At 52.0% G+C, this 22,341-nt stretch overlaps 1 protein-coding gene across 1 annotated transcript, besides 3 other annotated features; it reads right to left on the bottom strand.

Annotated features, from left to right (window-relative positions):
• Window positions 1–11,723: 11,723 nt before the first annotated feature.
• On the bottom strand, window positions 11,724–13,289 carry LOC124903766 (uncharacterized). The gene is made up of 3 exons (XM_047435040.1): window positions 13,205–13,289; window positions 12,665–13,070; window positions 11,724–12,542 (listed from the first exon to the last, which is right to left on the bottom strand). The coding sequence occupies exons 1-3, from the start codon at window positions 13,287–13,289 to the stop codon at window positions 12,008–12,010; spliced, it is 1,026 nt and encodes a 341-aa protein (XP_047290996.1). The 3' UTR covers window positions 11,724–12,007.
• Window positions 12,762–13,511: a silencer, noted in NCBI's record as "silent region_7897". NCBI's record gives its function as "represses an Ori minimal core promoter by ATAC-STARR-seq in GM12878 lymphoblastoid cells {active_cell/tissue: GM12878}" and the evidence as "EXISTENCE:reporter gene assay evidence [ECO:0000049][PMID:35858748]".
• Window positions 18,526–19,042: an enhancer, noted in NCBI's record as "H3K27ac hESC enhancer chr16:89308033-89308549 (GRCh37/hg19 assembly coordinates)". NCBI's record gives its function as "activates a minimal SCP1, AML or CMV promoter by ChIP-STARR-seq in naive H9 embryonic stem cells {active_cell/tissue: H9 hESC(naive)}" and the evidence as "EXISTENCE:reporter gene assay evidence [ECO:0000049][PMID:30033119]".
• Window positions 19,550–19,639: a silencer, noted in NCBI's record as "silent region_7896". NCBI's record gives its function as "represses an Ori minimal core promoter by ATAC-STARR-seq in GM12878 lymphoblastoid cells {active_cell/tissue: GM12878}" and the evidence as "EXISTENCE:reporter gene assay evidence [ECO:0000049][PMID:35858748]".

Here is a 22,341-nt window from a genome sequence, read left to right as displayed (position 1 = left end):
CCAGGCTGGTCTCAAACTCTTGACCTCAGGTGATCCACCGGCCTCAGCCTCCCAGAGTGCTGGGATTACAGGCATGAGCCACCGTGCCTGGCCCTTTTTTTCCTTTTAATAAGGTCTTGCTCTGTCACCCAGGCTGGAGTGCAGTGGCATGAACACAGCTCATTGTGGCCACGACCTCCTGGTCTCAAGCAGTCCTCCCAACCTCAATCTCCTGAGTAGCTGGGATGACAGGCACGCATCACCACACCTGGCTTTTTTTTTTTTTTTGAGACGGAATCTCTCTCTGTGGCCCAGGCTGGAGTGCAGTGGCGCAATCTCGGCTCACTGCAAGCTCCGCCTCCCGGGTTCACGCCATTCTCCTGCCTCAGCCTCCCAAGGAGCTGGGACTATAGGTGCCCGCCACCATGCCCAGCTAATTTCTTTTTTTAGTAGAGACAGGGTTTCACCGTGTTAGCCCAGATGGTCTCGATCTCCTGACCTCCGTGATCCGCCCGCCTCGGCCTGCCACTGTTGGGATTACAGGCGTGAGCCACCGTGCCCAGCCAACTTTTTTATTTTTTGTAGAGATGAGGCCTCACTATGTTGCCCAGGCTGGTCTTGAACTCCTGGGCTCAAGTGATCCGCCCACCTGCGCCTCCCAAAGAGCTGGGATTACAGGCGTGATCCACCACTCAGCTTAAATAAAGACAAAGTCAGCTGTTACGAATAATGTTCAAAGCACTAAAAGAAATTATGTTTAAAGAACTAAAATGGTAGTATGAAAATTGTCATTGTCTCACCAAATAGAAAATACAATACAGAGATAAATTATTCAAAAAGAATTAAATGGAAATTCTGTAGTTGTAAAGTAATTGAATTTGAGTTGGTAGAAGCAAGTATCAGCAAACTTGAAGATAGGTCAATTGACATAATGAAATGTGGCCAGGCGCCGTGGCTCATGCCTGTAACCCCAACGTTGTGCTAGGCTGAGGCGGGCAGATCGCTTGAGCCCAGGGATTTGAGACCAGCCTGGGCAACAGGGCAAAACCCCATCTCTACAAAAACAATTAGCCAGGTGTGGTGGCATGCACCTATAGTCTCAGCCATTTGCAAGGCTAAAGCGGGAGGTTCATTTGAGACCAGGAGTTCGAGGCTGCAGTGAGCTGTGACTGCACCACTGCTCCAGTCTGGGCGACAGAGTGAGACCACCCTGTCTCAATTAAAAAAAAAAAACTATTGATGGGTTTTTAATGTATGAGGGTATAATTTACATATACTTTGCAGCACACAGGAGGAGAAGACAGTGTTGGAGCTCATGGTTTGTATCCTGTTGAAATTTACCTACTATCTGGCCGGGTGCGGTGGCTCACACCTGTAATCCCAGCACTTTGGGAGGCTGAGGCAGGTGGATCACAAGGTCAGGAGTTCAAGACCAGCCTGGCCAACATGGTAAAACCCCATCTCTACTGAAAATACAAAAATTAGCTGGTTGCGGTAGCGGGCGCCTGTAGTCCCAGCTACTTGGGAAGCTGCGGCAGGAGAATCACTTGAACCCGGGAGACGGAGGTTGCAGGGAGCCGAGAATGCGCCACTGCACTCCGGCCTGGGCAACACAGCCAGACTCCGTCTCAAAAAAAAAAAAAAAAAAATTCACCTACTATCAATTGAAACTAGATTTTAGTTCATTATAATCCCAACAGCAATCCTTTTTTTTTTTTTTTTAACTCAGAAATGTCGTAAAAGAAACAAGGGAATGTAAATGGAATACTAGAAAATATTTGTTTAACACGAGAAGGCAGTAAGTAAGAAGAGGCGAGAAAGAAGTGATACAACAGCCGGGCGCGGTGGCTCACGCCTGTAATCCCGGCACTTTGGGAGGCCGAGGTGGGCGGATCACAAGGTCAGGAGATCAAGACCATCCTGGCTAACACGGCGAAACCCCGTCTCTACTAAAAATACAAAAAATTAGCCGGGCGTGGTGGCGGGCGCCTGTAGTCCCAGCTACTCGGGAGGCTGAGGCAGGAGAATGGCGTGAACCCGGGAGGCGGAGCTTGCAGTGAGCCGAGATCCCGCCACTGCACTCCAGCCTGGGCGACAGAGCGAGACTCCATCTCAAAAAAAAAAAAAAAAAAAATAGACAGCAAAATAGCAGAACTCCTTAACAGCAATTAACCGCAAATGGATTACACCTTCCAATTAAAAGGCAGAGATCGGCAGAATGGATTATAAAAGGATAACCATTCCGGAAAACCCAGACTCAATAAAAAAATAAAAATAAAGAGGATAACTGGACAGTTCAACAATAATGGCTGGAGACTTCAGTGCCTTCACTTTCCATCGTGGATCTAACAACAGGAAGAAAACACACCGGGAAACAGAAGACCTGAATAGCACTAACTGCTCCTGAGATGCCTCCAGACCACTCCACCTGGTGACAGAAAAACAGACTTTCCTCCCAGTGCACAGGATTCTTCTCCAAAAAGACTCTATGTTAGGCCACAGATCACACGTTGGAGAATTAAAACGGACGGCAATAATACAAAGCGTGCTCTCCAACCACAGCAGAATGAAGTTAGGAATCAGTAACAGGAGAGAATTTGGAAAAATCAAAAACATGAAAATTAAGTACCACACTCTTAAATAACCAATCAGTCAAGAAAGAGATCACGAGGGAGGCGGGCACGTTGGCTCACGCCTGTGATCCCAGCAGTCTGGGGGGCCGAGGCAGGAGGATCACTTGAGTCCAGGAGTTCGAGACCAGCCTGGGCAACACAGCAAGACCCAGTCTCTACAGAAAATACAAAAAATAGCCGGGGCGTGGTGGTGATACGAGAGGGGGGCAGGGAAGTGCTGGGTAGAGAAAGGAGGGTCCCCGGCCTCGGTGAGGACAGGCTCTCCTGCTCTCCTGCCCAAATGTTGCATTTTCCAAGACCACCCTGGCCCGCCATGCCCCCATCCTGGTACTATAAAAACCCAAGACCCTAGCAGGCCGACAAGGCAGCCGGACGTGGAGAGGAGCAGATCAGTGGAAGAAGACGCCAGCGGCTGCTCGGCAGGAAGACGGCGAGGGAGCAGCAGCCACCGGCGGCGGGACCAGGCGGGGTTTGGCCGGTTGGAGGAGAGCCGGGGCCGCCGAGCAGCCCGCGTCCAGGGCAGAACCGTCTCCCTTCCGGCTCCCCCAGCGGCTGAGAGCTCCTTCCAGGCAATACGACCCTGGGCGCATTCTCCAGGCCACGCGTGATCAGATTCTGCCGGTACACCGAAGCAGGAACCCGGGATACGGAAAGCGTCGGTCCTTGCGGCGAGGCGGGGGTCCCAGCACAAACCACCCCCAGACGGCAAACCAGCCGTGCAGCCTGGAACCCACGCCCACCGGGGCCTCAGGCGCCGCGAGACGCTGCCGCGGGGTCGGAGCCCCGCAGCCCGCCCGTCCCCGGAGGCGGCCACCCCCCACCACACCCCCGCGAGGCGCGCGAGGGGCTCTGCGGCTTCTGCGCTCACGCCCGTCGTCCCAGCTGCTCCGTGAGCCCGAGCGCGGGCGAGGCCTGAGTCACACTGAGTCACTGCGCCCCAGCGCGGGCGACGAGAGCCCGTCCCAACAGCAACGACGAGAGGGCGAGGAAGGGGAGGGCGGTGAGGGCACCCGGGACCTCGTGGTGTATTTTGACGACGGAATGCGCTTTCGGAGGCGACAGTGGTGACGACGCAGATGAGGTGACGTGCGCTGGAAGCGCCCCGAGCGCCACCCTGGGCCCGCACACGACTCGGTTTTGCACAGAGCGCGCCTGCCCTGCTGTCTGGCTTGGCGGACAACGAACCATTTGGTCAGGGCCCAGGCGACCTGTGTGGTCCCGGGGAGGGGCATGGAGATGGTGACAGGGTATCTTCTCCACGCCTCCCTCCCTTCCCCCACTGCCACCTCCGGTTTCCTGGGCATGGGGCGAAGGGCGACATCCGAGTCACTGAAGCAGGAAGCAGAGTTGGAAGAGGAGCCGGGATGGAGAGGCTGGCGTGAGCACAGTGACCAGGACTGATGCCAGGTTTTCTTTTGTTGTTTTGTTTAATTAGTTCGTTTTGTTTTGTTTTGAGACGGAGTCTCGCTCTGTCGCCCGGGCTGGAGTGGCGCCATCTCGGCTCACTGCAAGCCCCGTCTCCCGGGTTCACACCATGCTCCTGCCTCAGCCTCCCGAGTGTCTGGGACTACAGGTGCCCACCACCACGCCTGGCTCATTTTTGTATTTTTAGTAGAGACGGGGTTTCACCATGTTAGCCAGGATGGTCTCGATCTCCTGACCTTGTGATCCGCCTGCCTCAGCCTCCCAAAGTGCTGGGATTACAGGCGAGAGCCATGGCGCCCGGCCCTAGTTAGTTTGTTTTTTGAGATGGAGTCTTGCTCTGTCGCCCAGGCTGGAGTGCAGTGGTGCAATCTCGGCTCACTACAAGCTCCACCTCCCGGGTTCACGTGACTCTCCAGCCTCAGCCTCCCGAGTGTCTGGGATTACAGGCGCCCACCACCATGCCTGGCTCATTTTTGTATTTTTAGTAGAGACACGGTTTCACCACGTTGCCAGGATGGTCTTGAACTCCTGACCTCAGGTGATCCGCCCGCCTCAGCCTCCCAAAGTGCTGGGATAATAGGCGTGAGCCACCCCGCCTGGACTTGTTTTATTTTTTAAATTTTATTTCTCTTGTCCCGCCAGTTTCATATTTTCAAATAAAGTGTTATTATGTCAGAAAAAAAAAAAAAAAGACTAGACCCTCAGGTAGCTGCAGAACAACAAAAGGCCTGACATTCCCGTCTTTGGAATTTCAGGAGAGGAGAAAGATGATGGTGTTAAGGAAACGTGTGGACCCCAGGTCTCCAGCAGGTAGGAAGTTTGGAACTGGCCATATTCTATCCCAACAAGTAAAAGGCTAAACAGGCTGGAAAATATCGACGGTCCTTCTTAGGTCTGTGAGAGAGGAAAGGCCACAGGGCAAACCGCTGCCCCAGATCAGGAGACAGACTCAGCAGACTGGGGCTGACACCTCCACAGGATCCAGGGCTGGAAAACCTGAACCAGATGACGAAGTGCTGGGGCTGGGTGTGTGTGACCTGGTGCGATGCCTGCGTTGCTGAACTTCTACCCTTTGCCAACTGTGTTTAAGAAACAGGACACCCGGCTGGGCGCGGTGGCTCATGCCCATAATCCCAGCACTTTGGGAGGCCGAAGCGGGCGGATCACGAGGTCAGGAGATCGAGACCATCCTGGCTAACACGTTGAAACCCCGTCTCTACTAAAAATGCAAAAAAATTAGCCGGGCGTGGTGGCGGGCGCCTGTAGTCCCAGCTACTCGGGAGGCTGAGGCAGGAGAATGGCGTGAACCCAGGAGACGGAGCCTGCAGTGAGCCGAGATGGCGCCACTTTGCTCCAGCCTGGGCGACAGAGCGAGACTCCGTCTCAAAAAAAAAAAAAAAAAAGAAAAAAAGAAACAGGACGGCTGTGATAAAAAGTTCCTCTTTTTACCCGAACAGTTGAGACTGGTTAGAGCCACGACAACTGACAAAAGCAGCCAAGGAAAGGAAGACAGCGGGAAGTTCACCGCCCATTTCCAGAAGACATGAATATTCTTCCCCTCGCTGTTCACCTCCAGCCCCTTCAGTACAGAAACCCTACATTTAGCCCCTGCCCGCTCACCTGTTGAGAAGTTGAACTGTGGGCCAAGCTCCTGCTTCTCAGTCCGTGGTCACTGAATAAAGTCGGCTTCGGTTTCATGTATCGGCTTCGTGACACCAAACAGGGAAGGACCCCATCTTTTGGGCAACCGGCTTTCTCAGTAGCATGTGGACAAGTCTGAGAGCTAAGGACTCCCGGGAAGACCCACTCACAGGAGGTCTCCATGCTCTTGTGAATTTTACTTCCTGGAATGCTGCCAGGTTCTCACAGCGAAAATCAGAGAAAACCCCCTCAGGGCTCTAGCAGAGACAGGGGAGAAGGGACCATTTTGAAATACGCCAGAGTGCTCTGCCCTCTTTAGGAAAAGAATGGGTTCATGTCCTTCGCAGGGACAGGGATGAAGCTGGAAACCATCATTCTCAGCAAACCAACACAGGAACAGGAAACCAAACACCCCATTTTCTCACTCATAAGTGGGAGTTGAACAATGAAAGCACATGGACACAGGGAGGGGAACATCACACACCGGGGCCTGTCGGTGGGTGGGGGCAAGGGGAGGGCGAGCATGAGAACAAACACCTAATGCGTCCGGGGCTTAAAACCTAGATGACAGGTTGAGAGGGGCAGCAAACCAGCATGGCACGTGTACACCTAGGTAACAAACCTGCACGTTCTGCACATGTGTCCCAGAACTTAAAAAAAGAAAAAAGAAATCCGCCCTCAGGAGAACCAGTTTAACCAGAGTCTAAGCTATTGGGGTCTTGAGGGCCTAACTAACCTAGGGGAGGGAAATACAGCAAAGTCCACTGTAGCCATTCTCCGCCTCTAAGGGTGGTGGCGGGGGACAGCTGAGAGCTTGTGAAGGGCAAAGGCTCATCAAAGATGGAGGCCTGATCACAGGGCTACAGAACACCTCTCCTCCCCAGACCTCACCACTTCCTCATTATGGGAGACAGGGACTCGCTCTGTTGCCCAGGCTGGAGTACAGTGCTTCCATCATGGCTCATCGTAACCACCAACTCCTAGGCGTAAGCAATCCTCCTGCCTCAGCCTCCTGAGTAGCTAGGACTAGAGGTGCACACCACCATGCCTGGCTAATTTTGTTATTTTTTGTAGAGATGGGGTCTCACTATTTAAGACGGGCTAGTCATGAACCCCTGGGCTCAAGCAATCGGCCCCCCAGAATGCTAGGAATTTACAGGTGTGAGCCATCACACCCGGTCCAGCTGATTTTTTTCTAGAGACAGGGTCTTGCTATGTTGCCCAGTCTGGTCTCAAACTCAAAATCCTGGGCTCTAATGATCCTCCCACTTCGGCCTCCCAAAGTGCTGAGATTACAGGCATGAGCCACTGCACCCAGCCTCGCCACCTCCTTATTAAAGACCTGTTTACAACAGCTTTTTTTTTTTTTTTTTTTGAGAGATGGAGTCTCACTCTGTTGCCCAGGCTGGAGTGCAGTGGTGCAATCTCAGCTCACTGCAAGCTCCGCCTCCTGGGTTCACGCCATTCTCCTGCCTCAGCCTCCCGAGTAGCTGGGAATACAGGCGCCCCCCACCACGCCCAGCTAATTTTTTGTATTTTTAGTAGAGACGGGGTTTCACCTCAATCTCCTGACCTCGTGACCCACCCGCCTCAGCCTCCCAAAGTGCTGGGATCACAGGCGTGAGCCACCTCGCCTGGCCGAAATGAGGGAAATATTTAAAGTGCTTGGACAAGATAACCACCAGCCCAGGAATCTATACCCTGAAAAATTATCTGTCAAAACTAAAGGACAAATAAAGACTTTCTCAGACATAAATTTAAGAAATTTGTTACCAGTAGGCCTGTGTTGCATGACGTGTTAGAAGAACTTGTTTAGAGAGAGAGCTATGGGGAGAAACAGATGAATTCACTGTTATAGTTGGCGTCTGTGCCCCTCTATCAAAAATGGGTGGATCCAACAGGCAGAAATTCAGTAAGAACATGTTGAACTCAACAGGACCATCCATCAACTGGATATAATGGACACCTACAGACCGCTTCATCCAATGACAGAATACCTGTTCTTCTTAAGCCCACCTGGAACAGTCACCCACATAGGCCACATTCTGGGCTGTAAAAACGCACCTTAACAAATTTAAAACAATAGAAATCATGCAATGTCCATTCTCAGACCACAACGGAATTACACTAGCAATCAATAAGAGAAAGATAGCTGGAGAATGCCAGAATACTTAGAGATTGAATAACACACCTCTAAATAACACATGGGTCAAATAAGAAATCTCAAGAGAACTTTAAAAATATTTTAAATGAGGCCGGGTGCAGTGGCTCACGCCTGTAATCCCAGCACTGGGAGGTAGAGGCCGGCGGATCACCTGAGGTTGGGAGTTCGCGACAAGCCTGACCAACATGGTGAAACCCCGTCTCTACTAAAAATACAAAAAATTAGCTGGGCGTGGTGGCGCATGCCTGTAATCCCAGCTACTTGGGAGGCTGAGGAAGGCGAATCACTTGAACCCAGGAGGTGGAGGTTGCAGTGAGCCAAGATCATGCCCTTGCATTCCAGCCTGGGCAACAAGAGCAAAACTGTGTCTCAAAAAAAAAAAAAAAATGTGTGTGTGTGTGTGTATGTATGTATGTATATAAATATATATATATATTTCTGGCTGGGCGCGGTGGCTCACGCCTGTAATCCCAGCCCTTTGGGAGGCCGAGGTGGGTGGATCACGAGGTCAGGAGATCGAGACCATCCTGGCTAACACGGTGAAACCCCATCTGTACTAAAAATACAAAAAATATTAGCCAGGCGTGGTGGTGGGCGCCTGCAGTCCCAGCTATTCGGGAGGCTGAGGCAGAAGAATGGCATGAACCCAGGAGGCAGAGCTTGCAGTGAGCTGAGAACACACCACTGCACTCCAGCCTGGGTGACAGAGCGAGACTCCATCTCAAAATAATAAATATATATATATATATATATATATTTTAAATGAAAATAAAACACAACTTATCAAAACTCGTGGGATGCAGCAAAAGCAATGCATAGTGGCCAACTGATAGCACGGAATGTATGTATTAGAGAAGAGGCGAGATCTACAATCAGTCATCCAAACTTTCACCTTGGGAAGCAAGAAGAAGAGCAAATTAACCCAATGAAAGCAGGAAGAAGAAAAGATAAATAACTAAATGAAAATTAGAAGAGAAATCAATGAAATTGAAAACAGGAAATCAATAGAAAAAAAATCGGGCGGTGGCCAGGCGCGGTGGCTCACGCCTGTAATCCCAACACTTTGGGTGGCTGAGGCAGGCAGATCACGAGGTCAAGAGATTGAGAGCATCCTGGCCGACATGGTGAAACCCCGTCTCTACTAAAAATACAAAAATTAGCTGCGTGTGGTGGTGGGAGCCTGTAATCCCAGCTACTCAGGAGGCTGACGCAGGAGAGTCACTTGAACCCAGGAGGCAGAGGTTGCAGTGAGCTGAGATTGTGCCACTGCACTCCAACTTGGGAGTCAGAGCGAGACTCCATCTCAAAAAGAAAAAAGAAAAACAGACATTTAGAGACATATAGACCAGTGGAATAGCATGGAGAGCGCAGAGAGTAACAACCTTTGTGAGGATGTACAGATGCTGCGGGTGGGATGTAAAATGGTGCAGCTGCTGTCCAAAACCCCGTGGTGATTCCAAATTAAAAATGGAACTACTACATGATCCAGCAATTTCATATACAAACTGAAAAGAACTCAAAGCAGGGTCTAAGAGATGTTTCTATACTCATGTTCATAATAGGATCACTTGAGGTCAAGAGTTCAAGACCAGCCTGGCCAACATGGTGAAACCCCATCTCTACTAAAAATACAAAAATTAGCCAGGCGTGGTGGCATGTGCCTGTAATCCCAGCTACTAGGGAGGCTGAGGCAGGAGAATCGCTTGAATCCGGGAAATGGAGGTTGCAGTGAGCTGAGATCGTGCCCTTGCACTCCAGCCTGGGCGATACAGTGAGACTCCATCTCAAAAAACAAAAAAGGAAAAAAGGAGACGGGGTTGATAGTTGCACAAGATGACATATTATGTATTTAATACCACTGAACTGCACACTTAAAATCGCTTACATAATAAGTTTTATGTTACATGTATTTTACTACAATAAAATGTAAGAAAACATTTTAAATGGTCCTTTTTTTTTTTTTTTTTTTTTTGAGACGGAGTCTCGCTCTGTTGCTCAGGCTGGAGTGCAGAGGTGGGATCTTGACTCACTGCAAGCTCCGCCTCCCGGGTTCACGCCATTCTCCTGCCTCAGCCTCCTGGAGTGCAGAGGTGCGATCTCGGCTCACTGCGAGCTCCGCCTGTTCCTCAAGTCTCCGAGTCTATTCCTTGGGTTTGGACGGGTGAATGTATGTTTCTCAAATAAAATCACTGAAAATGAGAGGTAAGCGACGGCAAGGCTGTGGGGAAACCGCGCCCCCTGTACTGCTCATGGGAATGTAAAGAGCAGCCACCTCGGAAACCCATTTGGAGGTTCCTCTGACTGTTACTCAGAGTCACCCCATGACCTCAACCACCTAAAATTAGGGGTTTTTAGCAGGGAAGAAATGCATCTGTGTGTGAGAAAATGGGAATTAGGGAGGGTAAGGAAGAGCTGGTCAATGGGAGCAGGTGGCCAGCTGGGCAATCATGAAGGGTGAGGTGTCTCTCATCTCATTGTCCAGATGCTGTGATCTGGTGGATTTCAGCTTCTTGGTGCGATCTGGAGGCCCAGTGGTTGGTTTCCTGAGAAAGGAACTCAGATAGGACAAATGTAACTTTCTCAAGTTCTAAGATTCAGAGGGCCAATTTCTAGGTTTATTTAAAAGAAACCATAAACATCACTTCTATGGGACAATTGGGCCAGTTTCAATATTCATAAAATGGAACCAATTATGGAAAGAGGCTGCAACACAGATGAATGAACCTTGAGAACATGAGGCTAGGCGAAGGACAAATATTGCAATATTCCACTTACACAAGGTCTTCACAGGAGGCAAGTTCAGAGACAGAGAGAAGAGAGGTTAACCAGGAGTGGGTGCATGGGGGGAATGGGGAGTTACTGCTTAAATGCATGCTTTTTTTTTTTTTTTTTTTTTTTTTGAGACAGAGTCTTGCTCTGTTTCCCAGACTGGAGCGCAGTGACGTGATCTTGGCTCACTGCAAGCTCCGCCTCCCTGGTTCACACCATTCTCCTGCCTCAGCCTACCGAGTAGCTGGGACTACAGGCGCCCACCACCACACGCGGCTAATTTTTTGTATTTTTAGTAGAGATGGGGTTTCACCATGTTAGCCAGGATGGTCTCGATCTCCTGACCTCGTGATCCGCCCACCTCGGCCTTCCAAAGTGCTGGGATTACAGGAGTGAGCCACCGCGCCCGGCCTCGTGCTTTCTTTTTGGGAAGAAAAAATTTGGAAATAGACCACCATGATGGTTACGTAAGTTCAATGCCACTGAATTGTTCAGCTAAAAATGGTTTAAATGGTAGGTTTTATGTTATGTATATTTTTCCATCATTTAAAATATTAAAATTTAAAAGTACTTTAAAAGAAAAAGTAAAGGGTACAAAGATTTAAACACAGAATTACCATAGGACCTCCTGATTTGAACCGTAGGTTTATACCCTAAAGAACTGAAAATAGGAACTCAATGTTCCTCGTGGCACCCTCAGAGAAGGCAGAGTGGAAACCACCCACGCGTCCATCCAGAGAGAAAGGGACAAGCGAAATCAGTCTCCATGCTGTTACTGCTGCAGGTTCTTACCTTGCCAAGCAACAGAAACCGACAAGAGGCCCGACAAACTTCTCCCAGATAACGTCTATTAAGGCCGGCGTGGTGCTCATGCCTGTAATCCCAGCACTTTGGGAGGCCAACGCGGGCGGATCACCTGAGGTCAGGAGTTCGAGACCAGCTTGGGCAACATGGTGAAACCCCATCTCTACCAAAAAAAAAAAAAAAAAAAATTTGCAGGATGTGGTGGCGGGCACCTGTAGTCCCGGCTACTAGGGAGGCTGAGGCGGGAGAATTGCCTGAACCCGAGAGGCGGAGTTTGCAGTGAGCCTGGGCAAAAGAGCGAGGCTCCATCACACACATACAAAGTTTATTAAGACTGGCGCCCGGGAAGGAGGCTCTCGGGCTCCCGAAGACGGGTCCTGCGTGGCTTCCCAGGAGGGTACTGCTGTCAGCGAGCGTCAGCGCAGGTGCAGGCGGTGCTGGCTGCGCAGGCGCACTAGAAAGGATGCCGACACGTGCAGTGCGCGCGCGGAAGACACCGGCGAGTTCCGCCCTGGGTGCAGATTTCCGCATTAGGAGACGGCGCAGGCTGCGGCCGGCACCTCCCGGCCCCGCGCATGCGTCCAGACTCTGCTCATCTCCACTTTCTCACGGCACCTGCGAGGTCTCCGTGGGGCTGGCGCCAGTGAAGGGGTGGGCGGGAAATAATCAGAGGGGGTGGCCCAGGTCCTATCTCAGCGCAGTCTCCATACCAGGGAATATTATTCACTCCTGAAAAGGAACACGGGCCTGATCCCCGCTCCACCGCGGACGAACCTTTAAGACGCGATTCTAAGCGAAAGGCGCCGGAACACAGAAGCCACAGCACGTAGGGCTCCATGGAACGGAGGTCAGAACAGGCTGCTCCGCGGAGCAGGGCGGGGGCTGCAGGGCCCGGGAGGGGCGCGGAGAGCGGCCGCCGACGGGCCGGGCTCTGCGCGGGTAGAAGCTGTTCCGGAGCTCGAGAAGGTGCTGGTCCCGCAACACTGTGGGGGGGCCCCGCTGAGCTGAGCCTTGCGACCCGGTTTATGTGACGTGAGTTCCACCTCAATCTAAGTGTGAGGAAGCGAACAGCGTTCTTAAACTCAGAAACGTGCCCATTCGAATTGTTAACGCGAGCGCAGAGCCCACTGACAAAGCAAAATAAGACAAACCGGGAGTCAGAAAACTCAGCGACCCACAGGATCCACCGTGATGTTTCTCACAAATGTTACCGCGAAAACAGTCGGACTTGAAAATAAACGCGACCTACCTGGTTCTCGGAAGGGGAGAAGGATCCGAGCGAAAGGCGTCAGTTCTCCCTCGCTCGCCCCGTAGACGCCGCGCAGGCCCCGAGCTCCCGAGCGGCGGTTTCAGAACCCGCGGGTCACCCGGGAGCTCCTCCCGCAGTACCAGCCGAAAGCTCCCAGTGCCGAGGAGGGCGGGCAGCTGCCCTCCCCGACCTCGCCCCGCCCGCGCGGACGCCCCCGGCCCCACGCGGGGACCACCCCGGGACTCCCGCCGGACCCCGCGCGCCCGCGGCCAACCTGCGTGCACCTGCGCCCCGCGCCACGCCCCCGGCGCCCCACGTTTAGCCCTCACTGGGTCCCGCTTCTTAGTGGCTCTAAGCCCCGCCCCCTCGCTGGTCACCGCAAGCTCCGCCCCTCGAGGCCCCGCCCCTGCAAGGCCCGCCCCTTCACGACTCAGGCCCCGCCCACCACGGCCAGCCCGGGTCTAGGCCCCGCCCCGACACGACTCAGGCCCCGCCCCCGGCCAGCTTCGCTCCTCGCGCGCCCCGCCCAGCAATCCTCGCTGAACCCGGCGCGGTTTCCCCAGCGCTGCTCCACGCCGCAGTCCAGCGCCTGGAGTCCGCGCGCCCCGAGCCCCTGCCCGCTCATGCGCAGCTGGGTCACCCAGGTGCACCCACTTCCTTGCTGTCCCGCCGCCCTCCCTGCCCCCACCCCGCCTAGGCCCTGGGTGTCCCTTCTCCATCCTCCCTGGCGCCTCTGCCTCAGGCCACCTGGCCGTCCTCCTGGGCTCCCCGCTCGGGGGCGGCCCCTGGTCCGACGGTGCCGCAGACGCGCGCGCACAGGCCAGTCCCGCGGAGAGGCTGCTCTCAGGGGCTAGGCGGGGGGCTGAGTCAGAGGCTGGGGCCTGCCAGGAGCGGGGCGGCCTGGGGCGCAGCAGCATTGGAGCTGAAGGCGAGGGCGGCCCGCGCCGGTTGGGGAGCAGGGCCTAGAATTTACTTCACGACTACCAGCGTGGAAACTGCAGAGGGGCTGCCACATCGCTGCCAGGGCCTGCCCTGGGGCCTTGGATCCCGCCGGCTTCTCTCTCCACCCGCCTCTGTCCCACGTCTCCACCTGCCGTCCTGTTTGGTGCTTGGATCCACTAATGCCCAGTCAGCTTTCACGAAACGTCGGATGTATTTATTTTTTTTAATATCTGGGGTACACGTGCAGGATGTGCAGGCTTGTTGCATAGGTAAACGTGTGCCATGGTGGTTTGCTGCACCTATCAACCCGTCACGTAGGTATGAAGCCGGACATGCATTAGCTATTTTTCTTAATGCCCTCCTGCCCCCGCCCTCCCCCAACAGGCCCGAGTGTGCTTTGTTCCCCTCCCTGTGTCCATGTGCTCATGTTGTTCAGCTCCCACTTATAAGTGAGAACATGCCGTGTTTACTTTCCTGTTCCTGCGTTAGTTTGCTGAGGATAATGGCTTGCAGCTCCACCCATGTGCCTGCAAAGGACATGATCTCGCTTCTTTTTTATGGCTGCATAGTATTCCATGGTGTATATGTACATGTAACACATTTTCTTTATCCAGTCTATCATGATGGACCCTGGGGTCAATTCCATGTCTTTGCTATTGTGAATAGTGCTGCAATGATCAAATCACAAAAAGCAATTGCAACAAAAGCAAAAAATGACCAATAGGATCTCATTAAACTAAAGATCTAATTAAACTTTTGCACAGCAAAAGAAACTATCATCAGAGCTAACCAGAGACCTACAGAATGGGAGAAAATTTGTGCAGTCTATACATCTGAAAAAGGTCTAATATCCAGAATCTACAAGGAACTTACAAATTTACAAAAAAAAATTTTTTAAGTGGGCAAAGGACGTGAACAGACACTCCTCAAAAGAAGACATACATGCAGCCAATAAACCTATGAAAAAAAGTTCAACATCACTGATCATTAGAGAAATGCAAATCAAATCCACAGTGAGATACCATCTCACGCCAGTCAGAATGGCAATTTTTCAAATGCCAAGAAACAGGCCAGGCATGGTGGCTCATGCCTGTAATCCTAGCACTTTGGGAAGCCAAGGCGGGTGGATCACCTGAGGTCAGGAGTTTGAGACCAGCCTGGCCAACATGGCGAAACCCCATCTCTACTAAAAATACAAAAGTTAGCCGGGCGTGGTGGCAGGTGCCTGAAATTCCAGCTACTCGGGACCCCACTGAAGCAGTAGAATTGCTTGAACCTGGGAGGCTGAGGCTGCAGTGATCCAAGATGGCATCATGCACTCCAGCCTGGGCGACAGAGCCAAGACTCCGTCTCAAAAAAAAAAAAAAAAAAGTCAAGAAACAACAGATGGGCTGGGCGCAGTGGCTCACGCCTGTAATCCCAGCACTTTGGGAGGCAGAAGAGGGCAGATCACTTGAGGTCAGGGGCTCAAGACCAACCTGGCCAACATGGTGAAACCCCGTCTCTATCAAAAACACAAAAAAATTAGCCGGGCATGGTGGCGCATGCCAGTAATCCCAGCTCCTTGGGAGGCTGAGGCGGGAGAATCGCTTGAACCCGGGAAGCAGAGGTTGCAGTGAGCCGAGATCGCATCACTGCACTCCAGCCTGGCGACAGAGTGAGACTGTCTCAAAACAAAAGAAAAAAAAAAAAGAAGCAAAGTAACAACATAGGCTGGCAAGGTTGTGGAGAAAAAGGAACACTTTTACACTGTTGGTGGGAGTGTAAATTAGTTCAACCATAGTGGCAGACAGTGTGGCGATTACTTAAAGATTTAGAATCAGAAGTGCCATCTGACCCAGCAATCCCATTACTGGGTATATACCCAAAGGAATGTAAATCATCCTATTATAAAGATACATACACACATATGTTCAAAACGTTAGATTTTAAAGTAAAAACTCAGGGATAGCACGGCCCCCAGCAGTAGATTAAGCTGGATAAAAAGAGCCAGGAACTGGAAAGGGCATGGGGAGGCGCAGAGCTGAGGCCAAGGGTCAAGCACCTCGCCGGGAAATGCCACTGAGCACAGTTCTCCAGCCGCTGCCCAAGTCCCTCTTGAAATGGGCAGGACAGGGAGGGTGCGGCCGCAGGTGCTGGGGTTCATTTCTTAGGCCTGCGTCATGGCTATGGCCCTTAGCTGGGTGGTGTGTGGGCTGTGTCTATGACACCACCGAGGACGTGGGTATCCCTGGGGTCCCTTAGAATAGGAGGTGGATCCTGTGGCACTTTGGTGAAGCCAGCGGTGGTCCCATCTGGCCCTTTGCTCCGACCCTCACGGGTGCCCATACATGTCTGCCAGCCGGGCGAAGCTACCTAAATCTTTTTTTTTTGAGACTGAGTCTCGCCCAGGCTGGAGTGCAATGGCGGGGTCACTGCAACCTCTGTCTCCCAGGTTCAAGTAATTCTCCCGCCTCAGCTTCCCGAGTAGCTGGATTACAGGCATGCACCACCACGCCCGGTTAATTTTTGCATTTTTAGTAGAGACAGGATTTCACCATGTTGGCCAGGCTGGTCTCCAACTCCTGACCTCGTGATCCGCCTGCCTTGGCCTCCCGAAGTGCTGAGGAGTGAGCTGCGGTGCCCGGCCTTGTTTGTTTAAAGAAGTCCTCCTCTGTCGCCCAGGCTGGAGTGCAATGGCCTGATCTCAGCTCACTGCAACCTTCGCCTCCCAGGTTCAAGATTCTCATGCCTCAGCCTCCCAAGTAGCTGGGATTACAGGCACGTGCCATCAGGCCTATCTAATTTTTTTTCTGTGTTTTTAGTAGAGATGGAGTTTCACCACGTTGCCCAGGCTAGTCTTGAACTCCTGTCCCTCAGGTGATCTGCTCACCTCGACCTCTCAAAGCGCTGAAATTACAGGCATGAGCCACCGTGCCCAGACAAACATTCTTCTAAATCTAATAACCTGATTTGTCTCCTCTTGCCTTCAGGTCATCAATCTCCAGGTGGTCCTCAGTGAGAGATAGGTCCTCTCAATATTCAAGAGCCACCCTTCTACAGGGGACCCCTGGACTGCCCATCAGGGGGACAGGACAGAGGCACAATCCTGCCCGTCTCCCTGGATACCGCTCCCTGGCTGGCCACCACTTTCACTAACCCATGGAGCCAACCGTGCCCTGACAGCAAGAGGCCAATACTCACAGAACCACCACCGCTGCCCCTCTGTCAGCAGACAGCAGTTACAGAAGACTGACCTTTGTCCATTTCCCTCAAGAACTGGGGTCTTGGCCTCCTGCGGGGGGAAATGTTAGTGTGGGTAGCTAGGGGGTATGAGCAGGGCAGGAGAGGGCTCCCCACCACCACACACACACAACAGGTGTGCTGGCCACCATGAGGTGATGGTCAGGTAGTTGTTAACTGTCTCTAAAGTAATAATTGGTCACAGCCAGCGCCAGGGAAAGACAGCCTCCTAACAGATAGACAACAGCTGAAGCTGGTGATCAGCAGCTTCCCGTTAAGATCTCAGGAGCTGGGTGGGTGGGGAGAAGTAACACAAGACCCCGCATTATGTCACTGTATCAAACCCCAAGTCAGAAGGTCAAACCACACACTGGTCTTTCAAGGTGCCCTCCTAGCCTTCTTCCAGGCGTACTTTCCTTCCTCCTTTAAAGCTTTTTAATAAACTTCACTTCTGCTCTGAAGCGTGCCTCGGTCTCTCCCTCTGCCTTATGCCCCTCGGTTGAATTCTTTCTTCTAAGGAGGCAAGAACTGAGGTTGCTGCAGACCCGAACAGATTCATCACCAGTGACACTCCAGCATCCCCTTGTTCCCCGAGGCCCCCTGTCTGGAGCACCTTCCTTTCCACTGCTGCCTACAGGACTCCTCATCCCTCAACGCCCCAGGTCAACACTGTCTTCTCCTCCTGGAGCCTCCTTGCCACCTCGGCCAGAAGCCCTCCCTCCTGTTGACTATAGCACCTGCTCTCCCCTTCGAGACCCCGCCCCCTGGAAGGGCGTGGGTGTGGCTCAACACCTGCACAGGCCCAGCGCATGGTCAGGAAGGTCCTGGAGGGAGGGTGGAGGGGGCTGGAGGCACGAGGACCCTTTCTTTTGAGCAGGCAGGGTGGGGAGTGGGGGTTGCTGACCAGCCCAGAGCTGGGCTGGGGAGCCCGTTTCTCTCTGTGGTGGGAGCAGGCCTGGTGCCTCTGCTCTCCTGTCGACGGTGGGTGGCTGCGCAGGTGCAGGCAGCATCTGTGCCCTTGGCCCGCTTGGAACTTTTGTTAAAGATTAGACGTTTGAGGCCGGGCACAGCGGCTCACGCCTGTAATCCCAGCACTTTGGGAGGCCAAGGTGGGCAGATCACAAGGTCAGGAGATCGAGACCATCCTGGCTAACACGGTGAAACCCCGTCTCTTCTAAAAATACAAAAAAAATTAGCCGGGCGTGGTGGCGGGTGCCTGTAGTCCCAGCTACTCGGGAGGCTGAGGCAGGAGAATGGCGTGAACCCGGGAGGCAGAGCTTGCAGGGAGCCGAGATCGCGCCACTGCACTCCAGCCTGGGCGACAGAGCGAGACTCCGTCTCAAAAAAAAAAAAATTAGACGTTTGAATCTAATAATATAACTCTGAAAGTCAGACTCTCCCCATTCCCCAGGGTTTGCTGGGTTTTGGTTTTGTTGACTGTTGTGTTTTTTGTTGTTGTGGGCTGCCTCTGTGCTGATGCTCAGCCTGAGGTGTCAACTGAAGACATTCTCACGTCTTTCCTGATCATCTATCTATATTTATATATATAACATATATAAATATATAGTAAATATATATGTATATATACACACACACACATACGTGTGTGTGTGTGTATATATATATATATATATTTTTTTTTTTTTTTTTTTTGAGACAGAGTCTAGCTCTGTCACCCAGGCTGGAGTGCAGTGGGGCGATCTCAGCTCACTGCAAGCTCCGCCTCCCGGGTTCACGCCATTCTCCTGCCTCAGCCTCCAGAATACCTGGAAGCACAGGCGTGAGCCACCACATCCGGCTAATTTTTTAAACTTTTTTTCGTAGAGACACGGTCTCCCTGTTTCCCAGGCTGGTCTCAAACTCCTGGACTCTAGCGATCCCCCCAGCTTGAGCTCCCAAATTGCTGGGATTCCCGTCGTGAGCCACCATGTCCAGTCTAACTGTCTTTTAAAGAAGTTTAAAAATTACTCTCTAGCTGCGCAAGGTGGTTGGTGCCTGTAATCCCAGCAGTGTGGGAGGCTCTGGTGGGAGGACCACTCGAGCCCAGGAGGCTGAGGCTGCAGTGAGCCACGATAGCGGCACTGCACTGCAGCCTGGGCGACAGAGCGAGATCCTGACTCAAAAAAAAAAAAAAAAAGAAAAGAAAAGAAAAAGAAAAGAAAAAAGAAGAAAACACTTAAAGGATGACATCATTTTCGGGCGTTTCGTCCTTTGGGATTTGCCGTTTTCAGGATTTCACACCGTAGGGATGTTGATCTCTTGTGACTTCAACACTCCGGGTTCTGCTCTTCAAGACTCTGGCTGAGGTCTGTTTCAAACAGAGCCCAAACACGCAGATCTGTCGTCATCTAGGTCCCGTCTGCCCTGTGTGCCCTGTGAAATGGTGCCAAACATCCGCTAGCCACAGAAAAACCGACACCTGAGAGCTGTCGGTCCCCCAGCCCCGGCTGCCCTTCAGACGGTACCGACCGCGGCTCCCGCCGGGCTGCTGAGTGTGTCACTGTCGCCCAGCACACGAGCCCCTCTCCGATCCCCCGAGTTCCTCACCGAGTCCCTTACCCCCGGAAGTCCCTCGCTCTCCTCCCTTCCCCCCGGAAGTCCCTCGCTCTCCTCCCTTCCCCCCGGAAGTCCCTCGCTCTCCTCCCTTCCCCCCGGAAGTCCCTCGCTCTCCTCCCTTCCCCCCGGAAGTCCCTCGCTCTCCTCCCTTCCCCCCGGAAGTCCCTCGCTCTCCTCCCTTCCCCCCGGAAGTCCCTCGCTCTCCTCCCTTCCCCCCGGAAGTCCCTCGCTCTCCTCCCCTTCTGAGCGGTGACCCCCACCCCGAAGCCGGCGAGGCACCGCGGAACCCGGTCTGCCTGCGCTACCGCCCCCTGCTGGCCAGGCCCTCTTCCCAATCGCCCCGAAACCATTCACATCACCCACGTGTGCACGTTTTGTCCACATTTAGATCCCTGATCCATTTGCAGCTTATTCCTGTGAACGGTGTAATTTTTTGGGGGGCGGGGGGAAGGCGGGGTCTCGCTCTGTCACCCAGGCTGGAGTGCAGTGGCGCCATCTCGGCTCACTGCAAGCTCCACCTCCCGGGCTCAACCAATTCTCCTGCCTCAGCCCCCTGAGTAGCTGGGATTACAGGCCCGCACCACCATGCCTGGCTAACTTTCGTATTTTTAGTACAGATGGGGTTTTTCTTTTCTTTTCTTTTCTTTTGAGATGGAGTCTCACTGCTGCCCAGGCTGGAGTGCAGTGGCGCGATCTCGGCTCGCTGCAAGCTCCGCCTCCCGGGTTCACGCCATTCTCCTGGCTCAGCCTCCCGAGTAGCTGGGACTACAGGCGCCCGCCACCACGCCCGGCTAATTTTTTTGTATTTTTAGTAGAGACGGGGTTTCACTGTGTTAACAAGGATGGTCTCGATCTCCTGACCTCGTGATCCGCCTGCCTCGGCCTCCCAAAGTGCTGGGATCACAGGCGCGAGCCACTGCGCCTGCCCGAGATGGGGTTTCACCATGTTGGCCAGGCTGGTCTCGAACTCCTGATCTCAACTGATCTGCCCCCCCTTGGCCTCCCAAAGTGCTAGGATTACAGGCGTGAGCCGCCACACTCGACCTGAACGGTGTAATTTATACATGTAAAACCATCTTGTTCAGACAGCTCACCAGTTGTCCTAGCACCTTTCATTACAAACTGCATTTTTGCCCCACTGATCTGAAATACCCACTTTATTAACTAAATTTCCATGTTGCTAGGTCTATTTCCAGATATTCCATTTTTGTCCATCTGTCTGCTTCCTGGTCATGTGTCACATACCTTAATTACAGCGGCTTTAGAGGATGCTGCAGTGTCCACAGGGAAGCATCAGTTTTGTCTCCTGGGTTTCTTGGGCACCATCAGACGTCTGTGCCCCCACATGAACTTCAGCGTCAATCTGCATTAACTCCACAAAAAGCTTTTGGTGCTGTTGTAACTGGGATTATGTTTCATTTCTGAATTAAGAATGGGATTTTTATGATGTTGTCATCCCATCAAAGAACAAGGAATTTGCCCGTTTGTTCAAGTCTATGTGGTTTTTTTTTTTTTTTTTTTTTTTTTTTTTTTTTTTTGAGACAGTCTTGCTCTGCCACCCAGGCTGGAGTGCAGTGGTGTGATCTTGGCTCACTGCAAGCTCCACCTCCTGAGTTCACACCATTCTCCTGTCTCAGCCTCCTAAGCAGCTGGGACTACAGGCGCCCGCCACCACACCTGGCTAACTTTTTGTATTTTTCATAGAGATGGGGTTTCACCATGTTAGCCAGGATGGTCTCGATCTCCTGACCTCGTGATCCACCCGCCTCAGCCTCCCAAAGTGCTGGGATTGCAGGCGTGAGCCATCGCGCCTGGCCTAGAAGTTTTTAATTAGCCTGGTGTGGTGGTGTGCACCTGTAGTCTCAGCTACTTGAGAGGATGAGGAGGAAGGATCGCTTGAGCCCTGGAGGTCGAGGCTGCAGTGAGCTGTGATCACACCACTGCACTGCAGCCTGTGGGACAGAGCAAATCCCCATCTAAAAAAAAAAAGTGTTTTAAAGTTTCCTCATGGCCGGGCACGGCCCGGTGGCTCACGCCTGTAACCCCAGCATTTTGGGAGGCCGAGACGGACAGATCATGAGGTCAGGAGTTTGAGACCAGCCAGGCCAACATGGTGAAATCCCGTCTCTACTAAAAATACAAAAATTAGCCGGGCGTGGTGGCAGGTACCTGTAATACCAGCTACTTGGGAGGCTGAGGCAGGAGAATCACTTGAACCCAGGAGGTGGAGGTTGCAGTGAGCCGAGATCATGCCACTGCACTCCAGCCTGGATGACAGAGCGAGACTCTGTCTCAAACAAACAAACAAACAAAAAGTTTCCTCATTTAGGTTTTATACATTTCTTGATAAATTTATTTCTAAGCATTGTTTTATTGCTATTATAAATAAGTTTTCTCTACTATCATATCACCTCACTGGTTATTGGTTGTGTAGATGAAGACCATCTATGTTTTGACGGCAACTTCACCTCCTCTAACTTACTAAATGTTTTTACTGATTCTACAGGGCTTTCCATGTATATCATATAATGCACACAAGAGATAGTTCACTTTTTTGCAAATCTGTTTTGCCCAATTGCATTAGGTAACACTTCCAGTACACACACACACACATATAGCTACAGACACAGGCGTCCTAAGAAAGTATTCACCAATTCCTATTTTGAGTGCGTCTATCAATAGTAGGTACCACATTTTCCCAAAGGCTTCATCAACACCTATGGATACAATCACATGCCTTATCTTCTTAGATGGATTCATATGGTGTAGTATTTAATAGGCTTTCTAATTGAACCAGTTGCAGTCTTAAATTCCACTTGGTCATGGTTTATTATTTTCTCAATGTGGTTTTGTATTATTTGCTAATATTTAACATAACTAATTTGAATCAATATAATTAACACTGTAATTTTTCATTTTTGTGGTCTTTTATCACATTTTGCTTTTAACTTTTATTT

Source organism: Homo sapiens, chromosome 16 (assembly GCF_000001405.40).
Source record: "Homo sapiens chromosome 16, GRCh38.p14 Primary Assembly".
Lineage (NCBI taxonomy): Eukaryota > Metazoa > Chordata > Mammalia > Primates > Hominidae > Homo > Homo sapiens.
The sequence above is the reverse complement of the archived record's forward strand: the minus strand, read 5'-3'. Positions and strand labels throughout refer to the sequence as shown.

Excerpts from the sequence above, each read along its gene's own strand:
- LOC124903766 (XM_047435040.1), bottom strand. The coding sequence starts at position 13,289 with ATGAGCGGGCAGGGGCTCGGGGCGCGCGGACTCCAGGCGCTGGACTGC. Across the intron at positions 13,071-13,204 it reads GGGAAACCGCGCCGGGTTCA|GGGCGGGGCCTCGAGGGGCG; the intron begins GCGAGGATTGCT and ends CGGGCCTTGCAG. Across the intron at positions 12,543-12,664 it reads TCTCCCCTTCCGAGAACCAG|TGGGCTCTGCGCTCGCGTTA; the intron begins GTAGGTCGCGTT and ends TTGCTTTGTCAG.